The sequence below is a fragment of the Homo sapiens genome, chromosome 8 (genome assembly GCF_000001405.40).
Source record: "Homo sapiens chromosome 8, GRCh38.p14 Primary Assembly".
NCBI lineage: Eukaryota > Metazoa > Chordata > Mammalia > Primates > Hominidae > Homo > Homo sapiens.
In genome coordinates this window covers 13,029,981-13,045,802 of record NC_000008.11, presented here as the reverse complement: position 1 = coordinate 13,045,802, position 15,822 = coordinate 13,029,981, and the positions used below count along the sequence as shown (strand labels likewise).

The 15,822-nt window shown below is 42.5% G+C and overlaps 1 long non-coding RNA gene and 1 pseudogene across 5 annotated transcripts in view, besides 1 other annotated feature; one reads left to right on the top strand and one right to left on the bottom strand.

The window, feature by feature from the left end:
• RNU6-842P (RNA, U6 small nuclear 842, pseudogene) lies at window positions 1,348–1,453 on the bottom strand (annotated as a pseudogene).
• Window positions 4,386–4,594: a silencer, noted in NCBI's record as "fragment chr8:12898718-12898926 (GRCh37/hg19 assembly coordinates)". NCBI's record gives its function as "represses an EF-1alpha promoter that drives an FKBP-Casp9 reporter gene in an ReSE screen in K562 erythroleukemia cells {active_cell/tissue: K562}" and the evidence as "EXISTENCE:reporter gene assay evidence [ECO:0000049][PMID:32094911]".
• LOC124901889 (uncharacterized) overlaps window positions 8,807–15,822 on the top strand; it is a 51,754-nt gene continuing 44,738 nt past the window's right edge. For 2 of the 5 annotated variants that reach the window (XR_007060825.1, XR_007060829.1), the window contains exons 1-3: window positions 8,807–9,072; window positions 12,627–12,673; window positions 15,725–15,779. This is a non-coding gene — a long non-coding RNA (uncharacterized LOC124901889). Of the gene's footprint in view, window positions 9,073–9,387; window positions 9,415–12,626; window positions 12,674–15,721; window positions 15,780–15,822 lie in introns of those variants that run through there. The other 3 variants (XR_007060826.1, XR_007060827.1, XR_007060828.1) reach the window with 3 other exon arrangements.

The window sequence follows — 15,822 nt, the reverse complement described above, 5'->3', positions numbered from 1 at the left end:
TTAACTTCTAAGAAACTAGTACTTACTGAACTTAGGTACAGTATCACACCGTAAGCACCAATACCTGAAAAAGCTATTAAAATATTTCTCCCATACACAGAGGTTGATTTGTCTTCACAAACTTCCACTAAAACAAGTTATTACAACAGGCTGAGTGTAGAAGCAGAGTGGATATGAGAATCCAGCTGTTTTCTATTAAGCTAAACATTAAAGAGATCTGTAAACTGTAAATGACATCACTCTCCTCACTACATTTTTGTTTTGTTTTGGAAAATACATTTTTCATAAACTGTGTTATTTATATTAACATGTAATACATTACTTTTACTTTTATATGAATAAATAATTTAAGACTTTCTCAGTATTGTTATTTTATTTATTTTATTTTGAGGTGGAGTCTCACTGTCACCCAGGCTAGAGTGTGGTGGCATGATGTCAGCTCACTGCAACCTCACCTCCCAGGTTTAAGCGATTCTCCTGCCTCAGCCTCCCAACTAGGTGGGATTACAAACGTGTACCACCATGCCCAGCTAATTTTTTTAGTTTTAGTAGAGATAGAGTTTCTCCATGTTGGCCAGGCTGGTCTCGAACTCCTGACCTCAAGTGATCTGCCCACCTCGGCTTCCCATAGTGCTGGGGTTACAGGCGTGAGCTACCACGCCCAACCCTGAGTATTATTTGTGAATATAGTAAATATCAATAACCCAGACTTAAAAAGCCATTTGGAATCCTCAATTTTTAAGAAAGTAGGTGGGTTCTGAGACCAAAATATTTGAGAACCTCAGATGTAGATTAGGTCTAAGAGAACTCACCAGTGGCTCCACTGTAAATGAGGCATTTTCTTCTCACTTTTCTCTTTGAGGCCCAAGTCCGCCCAAATTAAACAAAATAGAACAATTAAATGGGGCCGGGCGCGGCGGCTCATGCCTGTAATCCCAACACTTTGGGAGACCGAGACAGATGGATTGTTCGACTCCAGGGGTTCAAGATCAGCCTGGGCAACATGGTGAAACCTCATCTCTACAAAAAATACAAAAATTAGCCATGTGTGGTGGCGTGCCTGTAGTCCCAGCTACTTGGGAGGCTGAGGTGGGAGGACCACCTGAGCCCAGGGAGACTGAGGCTCCTGTGAGCCATGATTCTGCCACTGCATTCCAGCCAGGGTGACAGAAGGAGACCCTGTCTCAGGAAAAAAAAATCTATCTATCTATCTATCTATCTATCTATCTATCTATCTATCTATCTATATCTGAAAGAAATGGCTGATATTTACTGGTGTGTCTTCGTGCCATAGAACATTGACTCTCTTTTTTTTTTCATATGTAGAAAAGAGGCTTTATTAAGAAAAAAATATGGAACGCTTCATGAATTTGCATGTCATTCTTGCACAGGGGCCATGCTGATCTTCTCTGTATCGTTCCAATTTTAGTGTATGTGCTGCTGAAGCGAGCACAGAACTTGACTCTCATTTTCACCTCAGAACTATTCTGGAAGGCAATAGTAATCAATCTCATTTTTATAGAAGAAGGAAGAGGCTCAGAACAGTTAAGTTGCCCAAGTTTACAGAGCTAGTAAGTGGATAATAGCCCCATAGGTTTTCTCAGCACTTCCCATGAGATCAGGATGCATCTGATGATTATTAGAAATAATTAGGTCCAGAATACTTTCACCTAAAGTATAAGCACAATTGAGGTAAAATATGGCTTTGATTTGTTTGAATATCCCCATAACTGCCTTGGTACGGCTACTTGCCTGGGCCAGTGAAGACAATGGCATTACAGAGGTCCCCAAATTTCCTGCAGAATTCTATAAACCAGCTGGGCCTCTCTTTAAACTTCGTGGTATAAGTCCTCCTCCAAAGGAAAAGGATGGTTGGATTTATTTTTTTTTTCTTTTCCGTCTGTTTTTGTTCTGGCATTCTTTTGTGAGTATGGAACTGATTACTAAATACGGTCAAACAGCTTGAGTCGGGCTTCCTGTGTGAATGTGAACAGTGCTGATTTCCAGCCTTGCATTTGATATGTTATCTGTGGCGGCTGTGCCCGACGTTGAAGTTTCAGATGGTTTCCTTCAATTTCCTGTATTGTTATAATGGTGGCTGTGTGTGTACATGTGCACGTGTGGACAGAGAAAGCAGTGGAGACAGAAGAGAGGATGTTTCTCTGTGTTTACTTGGATTTTGTGAAAGGTTTTTAGTTAGATATTGAGAGGGCCACATGTTTCAGTGGAAAGAGCCCTGTTTAGCAAAAATGAAGGTCCTCTCTTGTCTGCCACTAATTGCCTGCGTGGTTTTTGGCAAATATTTAGGCCTTGGGCCCAATTCTGCTTCCTTATAAGGCCGCTTTCAGCTCTGAAATTTTGTAACTCTGGTTTCTACTCAAAGCTTCACTTTCCAACTCCCCACACTTGGCTGTTCTAAAACGTTTGTTTTTCCTCCTGGTTTTACTTTCCAGGCCTTTTTTGTTCTCCTCCACTTTCCATTACTATCCCATAGCCTTTTGGATTTAAGTTCTTATAGAAAAGTTCTTCCTTTCTCAGCTCTTATTTTTCAGCTTCCGTTGTCTCTGAAAAAAATATTACGAATGGTCGACTTTATCTTGGAAAGAAGATCCAGAATGTGTTGGCTTCCTGTTTTGTTGGTGAGATGTCTAGAGCTTGGAGATTGGAGTGTGGGTCAGGATTCCCTACTAAGCCTTATATGAGATAGCTCAGAGCTGCTGGGCTGGCAATCACTTCTCTATCTCTGCTCTATTTTTATTAAACACAATTAACTTTAAATATGCAGGATAGGCTACGCGCGGTGGCTCACGCATGCAATCCCAGCACTTTGGGAGGCCAAGGCGGGCGGATCACAAGGTCAGGAGTTCGAGACTAGCCTGACCAAAGTAAAACCCCGTCTCTACTAAAAATACAAAATTTAGCCGCGTGTGGTGGCACGCTCCTGTAATCCCAGCCACTCAGGAGGCTGAGGCAGGAGAATCGATTGAACCTGGAGGCAGAGGTTGCAGTGAGTTGAGATCCTGCCAGTGCACTCCAGCCTGGGTGACGGAGTGAGACTCCGTCTCTCTCTCTCTCTCTCTCTCTCTCTCTCTCTCTATATATATATATATATATATATTTATATATATATACAATAAAATATAAATGTATATATGCAGGATAATGGCATATCTAATTCATCTGCTTTTATGGCCCAGTATGAACGTTTAAATGGAACCGGGAAATGAAACTTCTCGTTTTTCATCAGCTTCTAGTCCCACGCTGATGGCGCCCCCAGAGCCTCCACAAGTGGGTCTAGTGCCATCTGGTGGTAGGATGCGCTGATGCTTTGCTGCCTGATGGACAGACAACACCGTGCTTAATGAAGAAAACCTGTTGAGTGAAATACACGCAGAAACTTAAACAACGGACTGGTGACATTTGCAGCAGATGACTTAGTAGTCCCAAAATTCAAATTTGTTATTAAACATGCAAATCTGTGAAAGTTACAGAGTCTTTGGGACCATGCAAAGCTAAGATTGATAGGTGTGTGCACTTTAGGCATGAGGCATGTTCAGTTTGTAACTCTGTAGTGAGATGTTTGTGTTCTTAGTATGGAATCCAGATGTTGTCTGCTGGTAATTTATGCTCCTGTGCAAAACATGGGCAAATTGATTAATTTTTATCAATCTCACTTCATCTTGTTCTCATCTGTAAAAGATCATGTCTAAGGACCCTTAAAACGCTTTAAAAACTTTCAAAGAACCTCAAACATTGCAGTATTCTGATTTCCTCTAGTGACTGTATGTGCTTTATGTCCATGCTTTCTTCCACCCTCCAAGAGTTTAATGTTAACAGGAGGTGTGGAAGAAATAGTAAAAATTGTCATTTATTGGATGCTGCTATGTGTTTTGTATTCTCTTAGGTAGTTTAACATTTTTAAAATTCTGGTTTACAAAACTCTGCAAGATAAGTATCACTGAGCTCATTTTACAGATAAGGGGTGTAAAGCTTATCGCACTCTGCTTTCCATGTTTACAAACGAAAAGATAAACGAGAAACAAGGAAGAAATGTGCTAATTGTCTTTATAATTCAACACAACACCACTTACAGTGCATTTACAGCTCAGTGCAATTTGCCACTTTCCAACAATACAAAATGTCAAGTATCTAAGCCACATCATTGTTCTGTCTTCACACACTGATAAAGCAGCTGCCATACTGCAATTGTAGGAACAGTTTTAAAAATGCATTTTCCAGGGAGCCAGGGGGAAACAAATATTTGCCGAGACCAGAGCTGGTGTTTCACAGATCTCTTTTCTGTGAGCTGAGGAATGAGGAGAGGTGGAGTGACAGGCCGTCGAGTGTAATTACCATGTCCCAGATGCTGATGCAAGGATGGCGAGTGGCAGAGGACTATTGGCAGGTGTCTCGGGCATGGCACCACAGCAGCACTCTGTTTCTGTTGACCGGTTTGTTTGGGTCTTCCTTTTAAAAGTTGGGCATCCTTTCCCAAAGAGTGCTCCGTAAGGTGTTCATACATTTTATATGGAAAATAAAGATTTTGAGTGAAATATTATGAGAAACAAGGGGCTGATTACTGTTAAATGGGTTTCTTTGCTCTAGTATAGGACTTCTTGAAACCTTTCAGGTTTCAATGTGTACTTTTAACATAATTTATAGATTAAATGTATTTTATTATATAAATTAAATACAGGTGATATGGTTTGGCTGTGTCCCCACCTAAATTTCATCTTAAATTGTAGTTCTCATAATCCCCATGTGAATCGGGAGGGACCCGGTGGGAAGTAGTTGAACCATGGGGGTGGTTAACCCCATGCTATTCTCATGATAGTGAGTTCTCATGAGATCTGGTGGTTTTATAAGGGGCTTTCCTGTTCTCTCAGCTTTCATTCTTCTCCTTGCTGCTGCCACGTGAAGAAGGATGTGTTTGCTTCCCCTTCCATCATAATTGTAAGTTTCCTGAGGCCTCCCCAGCCATGCAGAACTGTGAGTCAATTAAACCTTTTTCCTTTATAAATTACCCAGTCTCAGGTATGTCTTTATTAGTAGTGTGGGAATGGACTAATACAACAGGTCAAGGTTAAATAATTCAAATAACCCCAATAGCTGGAGATAAGGCAGAAAATGTAACCCTTCTCCCAGAGCTAGGAATCCTTAGACCTAACTATTTTAGCAGACTTGTGTGTGTGTAAATTTCCAAAAAATATCCTAGTAGCATCACCTCGCTTATGTGGCATAGTGCATTAAACCTGATGAATGTTGAAATAATGCACTGTAGATGTCAAACAGCAAGCCTGGTCCACACTTACATAGGGCAATAACGAAGTCAGTAACAGATTCTCTTTTGAGGAGGGCTTGTGCTCTCTAGGTGGTACACCCCTCCTGCCATCCCACCCTTAGGTCACCCACCTGGCTTCTGGAGGCATTGGGGTTTGTTTCCAATGGTTGAAATAAATGATCAAACCCACACTGACTTGATATCCAGACAGGCTTTACTATATCATAGATATTAGTCATCAAAATTTTAGGGCATAAATTATATGTTTCAGAAGTCTACTGAGAATTCCTAGGCTGCTAAACGCTTGAGAAAATCCTAGACCCGGATGCATTGCATCTTACCATTTTTTGGTTTTGTTTTTTGTTTTTTGAGACAGAGTCTCACTCTGTTGCCCAGGCTGGAGTGCAGTGGCATTATCTCAGCTCACCGCAACCTCTGCCTCCCGGGCTCACACAACCCTCCTGCCCCAGCCTCCCGAGTAGCGCCCGCCACCACGCCTGGCTAATTTTGTCTTTTTAGTAGAGATGGGGTGTCACCATCTTAGCCAGGCTTATCTTGAACTCCTGACCTCGTGATCCACCCGCCTCGGCTTCCCAAAGTGCTGGGATTACAGGCATGAGCCACCGCGCCCAGCCACATCTTACCATTTTAATAGCAACATCTTTACTTTGTGCCTGGAACTTTACCTGCAGAAACTTGATGAATCCTCCCAGCAGCCCTATAAAGGTAGGGGCATGTAACATCTTTGATGTATAGAAGATGAACTGAGTCAGACAGTAGTTAAGCAACTTTCATCCCTACACAACTTCCGGAATCTCTTAGTGACTCCTACTGTTTCCCCTAGTTAGCCTTTGATTCTCTCCGTGAGATCTGCTGTCAGAAATTCAGCTGATCCTGATGCAGCCTTACTGACCTATGGAATTTCCCTTCCTTCTCCAATGCTCACCTCCCATTAGAACCCGTGGGTCATTGCTCTGAGCATGACACACTGGGGCAAGTGTCTGTGTCAAACTTTGTAAGACATTTCTATATTAAGATATAAAGAGAAAGAAGCAAAAAGCAAACTTTTATATACACTCTGACTTCAGTTATGGGAAATGCATGGAGAAGAAGGCTGGAAGGAAAGGCGGTGATGACATTACATTAGAGTTGTAGGGCAATGGATTTTTTTTCTATTTTCTTAGTTTTATGAAATATGGTATACCAGGTATTAAATGAGAAAGGTTTACCCTTTTACTAATTTAAATATTTCTTTCCAAAAACTGAAATACATCTATCAACTCAGATGGTTACCATGCAATATCACAAAACATGCAATAGTCTTTTTTTTTTTTTTTTTTTTTTGAGATGGAGTCTTGCACTGTCGCCCAGGCTGGAGTGCAGTGGCGGGATCTTGGCTGACTGCAAGCTCCGCCTCCTGGGTTCACACCATTCTCCTGCCTCAGCCTCCCAAGTAGCTGGGACTACAGGTGCGTGCCACCATGATTGGCTAATTTTTTGTGTTTTTAGTAGAGATGGGGTTTCACCGTGTTAGCCAGGATGGTCTCGATCTCCTGACCTCATGATCTGCCCTTCTCTGCCTCCCAAAATGCTGGGATTATAGGCATGAGCCACCGCGCCCAGCCTATATGCAATATTCTTTAAAATAGTTACCATTTATCAATTGCTTAATAATTGCTAGGTATCTTACATATGTAATCTTGAACCCCTATAAGAACTGACCAAAGCAGCTATTATTATTATTATTTTTAAGACAGAGTCTCACTCTGTCGCCCAGGCTGGAGTGCAGTGGCACAATCTCAGCTCATGGCAACTTCTGCCTCCTGGGTTCAAGTGATTCTTATGCCTCAGCCTCCTGAGTAGCTGGGACTACAGGTGCACGCCATCACGGCTGGCAAATTTTTGTATTTTTAGTAGAGATGGGGTTTCACCATATTGGCCAGGCTGGTCTAGAACTCCTGACCTTGTGATCTGCCCACCTCGGCCTCCCAAAGTGCCGGGATTCAGGCGTGAGCCACTGCGCCTGGCCCAAAGCAGCTATTACTATACACTTTTTGAAGCTGAGGCAACCAAGGCCTAGAGAAGGGCAGTGATTTTTTCCAAGAACACGTTGCTGGATTTACATGGCCAGGCTCATCTTACTTCAAAGTGATCATCATCAACTAATCATTCATCTGGTAGAAACTTATTATTTCCATTTTCAGGGTACCCAGAAATTTTGTTACTGTATCAAGATCACAGGAAAAGTGTTTGAGACATCACCAGAATCTACAGCTTCTGTTGGTGCTCCTGGGTTCAGCTTCTAGCTTTACGAGTATGCTAGCTTGTCTCCAAGATGGTGCCCGTGAGCCCTAAATTCCTGGATTGACGCTCTTGCCTAGTCCTCTATTGTATCATATCAGGGTTGTTCTGAGTAACCAATAGAACACAGCAGAGGTGAAGCCATGTGACAAAGTTAGGTCATAAATTACATCATGGCTTCCATGTTGCTGGCTTCCTCTTGGATCACTTCCTCTGGAGGAAACCAACTGTGTGTTGTGAGAAGATTTAAGCAATCCAGGGAGAGGTCCACATGGTAAGGATCAGAGACCACCAGCCAACAACCATGCTGGTGAGGGATTTTTAGAAGCAGATCCTCCAGCCCCAATCAGGCCTTCAGATGACTGCATCCCACATTGACTCCAACACTGTGAAATAACACTGAGTCAGACACACTCAGCAAAACCACCAAACTCCTGACCCACAGAAACTGAGATAAATGTTGTTTTAAACCACAGAGTTTTCGGGGTAGTTAGTTACACGGTGATAGATAATTGATAGACATTGCAGATAACTTGTCTTTTTAGTCCGCAAGACTTCAGACAGAGAGGAACTCTACTTGAAGATGGATTCTTAAAGAACTACACCCGGTCAGGCAAGGTGGCTTATGCCTATAATCCCAACACTTTAATAGGCCGAGGCAGGATGACTGCTTGAGCCCAAAAGTTTGAGAACAACCTGGGAAACATGGTGAAACCCCATCACCACAAAAAAAAATTTTTTAAATTAGCCAGTCATTGTGGTGTGTGTCTGTAGTCCCAGCTACTTGGGAGGCTGAAGCAGGAGGATTGCTTGAGTCCAGGGGTCAAGGCTACAAGTAAGCTGAGATTGCACCACTGCACTCCAGCCTGGGCTACAGAGTGAGACACTGTCTCAACTCAAAAAAAAAAAAAAAAAAAAAACTGCAGAACTACACCTGAGAAGACTTCTCTGTATTGGGATCTGATTTAAATAATTACATCCTGGACTTCAAACCTGGACATCTTGTACAAGTTTGAGACTTTTGGGAGGAGTTGAGAGGAATGAGAGTATTTCACATGTAGGAGAAATAGAAATAATTTGTGGCCAGGTGGTGGACTGTGATGATTTAAAATACGTCCACAGATTATTTAACATTCCTTTCAAAAGATGGTACCTAATTCCCCTCCACCTCAATTTGGGCTGGTCTTAGTGACTCGTTTGTAGTGATAGAATGTAGAAGTGATTGTGTGTGATGTCAGAGAGTAGGACATAAAAGTGATGGTGTCTGCCGGCTTACTCTTTCTCTTGGGTGATCTGCTCTGGGGAGAGTTGTGAGTAGGCCTCCAGCCCACAGCCATGTGAGTGACCCTTTTGAAGAGTGGATCTTCCAGGCCCAGTCAAGCCTTCAGATGACTGCAGCCCCAGCCAACATCTTGGGAGACCCCGAGTCAGAAACCCCCGCTAAGTCACTTCCAGATCCCTAAGTCTCAGAAACTGAAGAAAAAAAAAATGTATGTGGTTTTAAGCCCTAAGTTTGGGGGGTAATTTGTTATGTTGCAATAGATAATATGTCTGATATGGTTTAACTGTGGCCCCACCCAAATCTCACCTTGAATGGTAGCTCCCATAATTCCTTCATGTTGTGGGAGGGGCCCAGTGGGAGATAATTCAATCATAGGGTGGTTTCCCCCATACTGTTCTCATGGTAGTGGATAAGTCTCACAAGATCTGATGGTTTTATAAAGAGAAACCCCTTTCACTTTGTTCTCATTCTCTTCTCTTGTCTGCTGCCATGTGAGACGTGCCTTTCACCTACCGTCATGATTGTGAGGCCTCCCCAGGCATGTAGAACTGTGAGTCCATTAAACCTCTTTTTTTTTTTTGTAAATGGTCATGTCTTGGGTATGCCTCTATCAGCAGCATGAAAATGGACTAATACAATGTCATTGCTGAAAATTTACCTCATTATATTTTCACATTTGGATGAGAAAAAAGATTTTGGATAAATCCAAGCAAATTCTTTTCATCCTAAGGTAACAGAAACAGAGTAATTTGCCTCTATTCTTGCTGCTATTTTGTCCAATATAAGCCCAGAAATGCCTTTTGTCTTTATTGTCTAATTTGTTATTGTAGAAATTTACTTATTCAGTCACTATATTTAGTTTAGAGAACTGTGCTATAAACAGAACGTTGAAAATTTTTTTAAATACATATTTTCTGAATAGCTACTTTATCATGTACACTGGGCATCCAGAGGCTATAAAGATGAATGAGGTGCAGTTCTTATCTTCATGGAATTTAATCGTTTCATGGACTATTAAATAATTAAAAAACAATAATATATATTAAAGTATCAAACGACATATATCCATATATTCTAAATTGTCTATTACCCTTTTACTCCTGTCTTTTCAACTTAGCCCTTGCAAGTGAATTCTTTGCTAAATTTTAAGTACATTTTATTTAAAAAAAATCTTTTAGAGATGGAGTCTCACTATGTTACCCAGACTGGTCTTGAACTCTTCGCTTCAAGCAATCCTCCAGCCTCAGCCTTTCAAAGTCCTGGGATTACAAGTATGAGCCACCGCACCCAGCCACTTCACTTATTTAAAGTTGAATATACTACCAGGTTTGGTGGTGTATGCCTATAGTCCCACCTACTCCAGCTACTCAGAAGGCTTTGGTGGGAGAATCCCTTGAGCCTAGGAGTTCTGGGCTGCATTACAGCCTGGGAGACAGAGCAAGACCCCATCTCTTAAAAAAAAAAAAAAAAAAATATATATATATATATATATATATATAATATATATTATACAAACACAAAAGCTCACATATCAAAGTCTGTACTCCTGAATTCACACAGTGACACAATGATGTATCCACACAGTGACCCCCACCCCGTATCCACAATTAGATTTGGGAGCAGAACATTACCCAGCCCATATCCTGAGGAGCTGGTATTCTGCCTTCCATCGCCATACAAAAATTTTGCCAGTTTTTGAAATTTGTGAATGGAATGATATATGTGATTTTTGGTTTGGCTTCTTTCACTTAAGTTATGCTTGTGACATGTACGTTTGCTGTTCAGAGTAGCAGTAAATTCCCATAGCTGTATTATATTAAGTTATATGAATACACTTATATAAATACACTTGTCCATTCTACTATTGATGGATAATTCGACAATTTCCAGGTTTGGGCTATAATGAAAAGTACTGCTAGGAATATACATGTACATATCTTTTGGTAACATAGAACTCTTTTTATGTGGTCTACACTGGCAGTGGAATTGCTGGGTCTTGGCGTACTGTCTTACTTTGGACTTTTAGCTCAGCTCTGTCTCCCTCTCTCTGTCCTTGCTGTCAGGCTTTGCGATATCTCCTATTAGTGGAGTTTCAAGTTTTTCCACATCTTGTTCCACATCTGCAACAACATTTGATATTATAACACTTTTTTTTATTTGAGATATTCTTGAGTGTTTTATTATCTATTTTTTACCTAGGTTTTCTCCTGTGCTTGATAAGTCTGTAGGAATTACAGAGAGAGAGACTGTGTAAAATATAAACTGCTTCTGAGTCTGAAATAGGATGCATTAGAAAATGTAACAACTTGTTTGACAGACGCTTGTTCTCCCCAAACAACCAGATTTGTCCGAATTCCTACCTGGTTATTAGTTACCAGTTGTTTGTTAGTTGACTAGTTAGTATCAACTCAGCATCAGTCGGTCCTGTATGGAGGTATATGTATATATACAAGATATATATTTAAATATATAAAAGGATATATAGTTAAACGTGCTGATGGCCGGGTGTGATGGCTTACACCTGTAATCCCAGCACTTTGGGAGGCCAAGTTGGGAGCATCGCTTGAAGCCAGGACTTTGAGACCAGCCTAGGTGACCTTGTGAGAACTCCTCTCTACAAACAAACAAAATAGCTGGGTGCAGTGGCACACACATGTAGTCCCAACTACTCAGGAGGCTGAGGCAGGAGGATCGCTTGAGCCCAGGAGATCGATGTTACAGTGAGCTATGATTTCATCATTGCATGCCAGCCTGGGCAACACAGCAAGACCCTGTCTCTGAAAATAATAATAATAATAATAATAATATATTGTCCTGGGCAGATGAGGACTTTGATTCAGCTTCCGGCTTTTATTCTCCAGAAGAGGGCAGCCTCGTTCCACGTTTTGTCTGTAGGCCTCCCTGCAGACACCTCCCCGCTCCTGTGTTTGTTAAAGGGCATGCTTTATTTGTTAAGCACATGACAGCCTCCTGGGCAGCCAGGTGGGAACTTGGGAGGTATTTTTTCTCTTTGTTCTTTCTGGCTCTCTAACCAGATTCTAGTTAATTCCACCTGAGGTCTGGACGTGTCCTAGTTTCATTTCTAGACCTGCTGTCCTAGCTCCGTACTGTGTCTCCCAACCTCCTGCTGCAGACTCCTCAACTCTCAGACCCTGCCCTCCCCTCCCTCACCTTCTCTCTTTTCCGGAGGAATTTTTCCAACGCATGGGCTCAAAAACGTTCAAAGGCTCGCTAGCCTTTGAAGAAATAAATACGTGTGATTAGGTTGAAGTCTAAATCCCCCGGTGGCATTCTTGGCCCCTAAGAATCAAACTGCAATCCGCTTCTCCACTTTCCTCTACTTGTACTGCCCTCAGAAAACCCACTTTTCCGTGGAGTGAGCAGAACTAGGGTTTGAACAACTCTAGGTCTAAGTCCAAATGCAAAGCTCAGTGTCTTTACTTTCCATCCATAGGACTGTGGCAAGGAACTTATCTCTATGAACCCTGGTTTTCCTATCAGCAGATGGGGCTCGGTGGTACCTACCCCTCATGGTTGGTGTAATAAATAAACGATGCTACGAATATGAGAGTTCCTGGCATAAAGTGACTACATGATAAATGGTGCTGTCATTGTCATCATCATCATCAATTTACTTAATTTATTCTGAGCTTCGCTTCTTCTCATTGTCCAAATTCCCTGCCCTCCTGCCCTACTGAGATTTCATCTTGTGAGGTCCAGCCTTGTGTCACCTCCTTTACGATAACCGTCTTCCTTTCCCAGGGTCCCAGCGTTCACTGCTACTTCTGAGCACCCTCTTTCAGAGCCAGGTAAAAATTCATTCACACAAGTTTACCGGGCACCCTGAACAGCGCCAGCACTATGCCGGGTACTGTGGGTACTTCAGTGAAAGAGAAAGAGGCAGACAAATCCCTGCCATGGTGACAGGTATACTCTGATAGAGAAATATGCTTAAATAAATAAATAAATAAATAAATAAATAAATATGCATGATGAATTTCAAAAGGAAATTCACATAACTCTGGGACCACAGAGCAGGAAAATAAATTAGTGTCTCTTCTGTATTAGGGGCAGGGGCCACAAAGGCTTACCTCGGAAAGGCACATCGAAGCTGAGATGGAAGCATGATTAAGTCAGGCCAACTGAGGAGTGGAATAATATTCTAGAAAGAGAGTCAGGCCAACTGAGGAGTGGGATAATATTCTAGAAAGAGAGAACTGTGCCCATCTTATCTGTCCTGCCAATTTTAAATTCTCCAAGATCAGACACTGAATTTTTTTCCCATAAAATCTCCAACAGCACCTGGAAAGTCCCTTGCCTGTAGGAATTGTTCAGAAATTGTTGAACAAAAAATGCAAAGAAATGGCAGTTTTTAAAATTGAAGTCTTTAAAACGATAGGGAAGCAAGCTCTTTCTCTTCTGTGTTTTCTGTTCCTTTCTCAGGCTGGTTACATAGTTTGAGTCCCAAGATGATATGTTAGTGAAAAACTTTAGTTCTTCACAGATCGCCTCCTTTGAGGGCCAAGAGCTCACAAGATGGCCTGGGTGAGGGTTACTTCAGGACAGCTTCTTACCCCCTGAAGCAGGAGAGTTCTTCCTGTGTGAGGTGTGCAGGTGACTTTATCCATCACACTGAAGTTCCCTTCTTAGCCAAACAAAGGAGTATAGGGTTGAGTTAGACCCCCTAACAATCAACTTCTCCTGGAGTCATCCTATTTCATGGAACTTTGGGGTCCAACTACATTTCTTTTAACGAGAAACTTTTAGTTGCCTCTGGGGTGGGGACAGTGATCTCCCAAGCAGCAAGAACCAGGTCTGTGGAAGTGACCCCCCATGCAGTTTGAAGGTGGCAGCTCCACTCACTCCATGCCAAGCATTGAACACAGGAATCTTCGCCAAGCTTCCCAGACAGGCAGGCCAGTGCTCAGGCTCGGCGCCACATCTGGGGCTATTCCAAGTCAGGTTTCTTCCACTCCTGGGCAGTGTCTGGGGGGCTCAAGTTCACTGCTGCAAACAGTTGCTGGCTAGTGGGGCTGTTCCCACCCTCCCCTCAATGCAGCATCCTCCCTGGGCAAACACTTTGAGGGCTCTGGCCTCTCAAAGATGGATGGCGTTCACTTCAAAGTGGCTGTGAGTTCTCTTCTGGAGCAAAACAGCTCTAACAGAGGCCTGCCTTCCCTGATTTTTCAGGGGTGGGGTGTTGGGAAGCAAGGGATATCTCTATCTCAGCTTACCATGCCCTTCATTTTCAGTCATTATGAGCTGTTTCTTTGCAAGAGAAAGAAAAACTTGTAGCTGATGGTCAGATATCGTTCAGTGGTGGTTTCCGTTTTTACACTTGGACGATTAATCCTGAGGACCAAGCCCACATGATTAGTTTTCATCAGTATTCAAACAAAAATCCAGCAAATAAATAAAAACATATTCTTCACACCTGAGGTCTCAGAGAAAGCTGAGAGAGGGGACTTGGACCTAAGGGCCTGAGAGGAAAGGTTGTCTCATAAGAGGAGCCTTACGATGCAAGAAGTCAATGAAGCCGAGACATGACCCTCCATTGCCACCTGATCCCAGGAGCTGAGAGCCATCAGCCAGGGCCGGGACTCTTCCTCCCTACAATGCTGAAAACAGGCATGGAGTCGGTGGTGGGTGGGAGAGCTCTTCTGTTGCTCATTTAGTGTAGGTCCTTTAAAATGGCAAATGATTGTTTGTTTCTGGAGGTCAGGGATGGGGTGACATGGAGGATAAAAATACTGTGGTCCCTCAATATCCGTGGGGGGTTGGTTCCAGGACGCCCTCGGATACCAAATCCATGGATGCTCAAGTCCCTGAAATGAAAATGATGCATAGCATTTGCATATTACTGACAGACATCCTCCCTTATACATTATATCATTTTCAGGTTCCTTATAATACATCACACAGTGTAAATGGTTGTTGTACTCTATTGTTTAAGGAATAATGACAAGAGAAAATGTCTGTACGTGTTAGCCCAGACATAATCTCCTTTTTTCAAATATTGCTTGAATCTACAGAGGTGGATCCCAGGTGGTGGAGGGATGACTGTGGTAGGTGGAAAAGTGACCGGAGCTGGAATGGCCTTAGTCAACTGTCTCTCTTAACAAAAAATTGGTACACACATAAGGGAAAAATTGTGGATGATGCAGAATGGTTTTTTAATTGCTAAATTGTAAAGGTGTAAAAGGAGTAGTGCTGTAAAACACCCTAAATGCAAAGGGCGTATGGTGAAGGAGGAGAAGATCAACATGGAGCTGTGGGATCGGGGCATTTCTTTGACGATGGGACCTGAGTGGGCTGCAGTGTGACAAAGATCTGGATGGATGCATAGGACAGCTACCTGGAGGAATGCAAACACAGGTGTGTGTGGAGGAATGCAGAAAGAAGCATATGGATCTGGTTCTTGGCTTTGCAAGTCACTCCTTCTCGGAGTCAGTGGCTCCCAAGGTTTCTGGTATCCCAAGCATCTGCTGCTTTTCCTTGCACACACGTGCACTTGCACGGGGATTATCTTCTGTGCCCTGCATCCGGGATGGGGTGGGGAGTGAAGTGTTCTGACGTTGACACTTTCCTTCTGATTTCACCCATTGAGAAAACTGTAAAACCCACTATACATCTGTTAAGTATATCATTTTAAAGCTAAATTTATGCTTAGATATTTCAAAAATAGAAAAGGAGCATGAAGATGGAAGAAGGGATGGCTTCTAAAGACAATAATTAGCAATGTTTTTAAACTGGGAGGTTTCTGGCAGAGTACGAAGCACAGGACTGAGGTCTCACTGATTCTTGTCAAAAGGTCAGCACAGAGTGTATTTTATTTGTCATCATTTTTGTCTTTCAAGCAGCCACCTGAGGGCCAATCTGATGCTCGGGGAGATGGAGTATCTTCTTCCATCACAGGTGAGGAGCCGTCAAGCTGCCCCATGCCAGGGCACCATCTGCT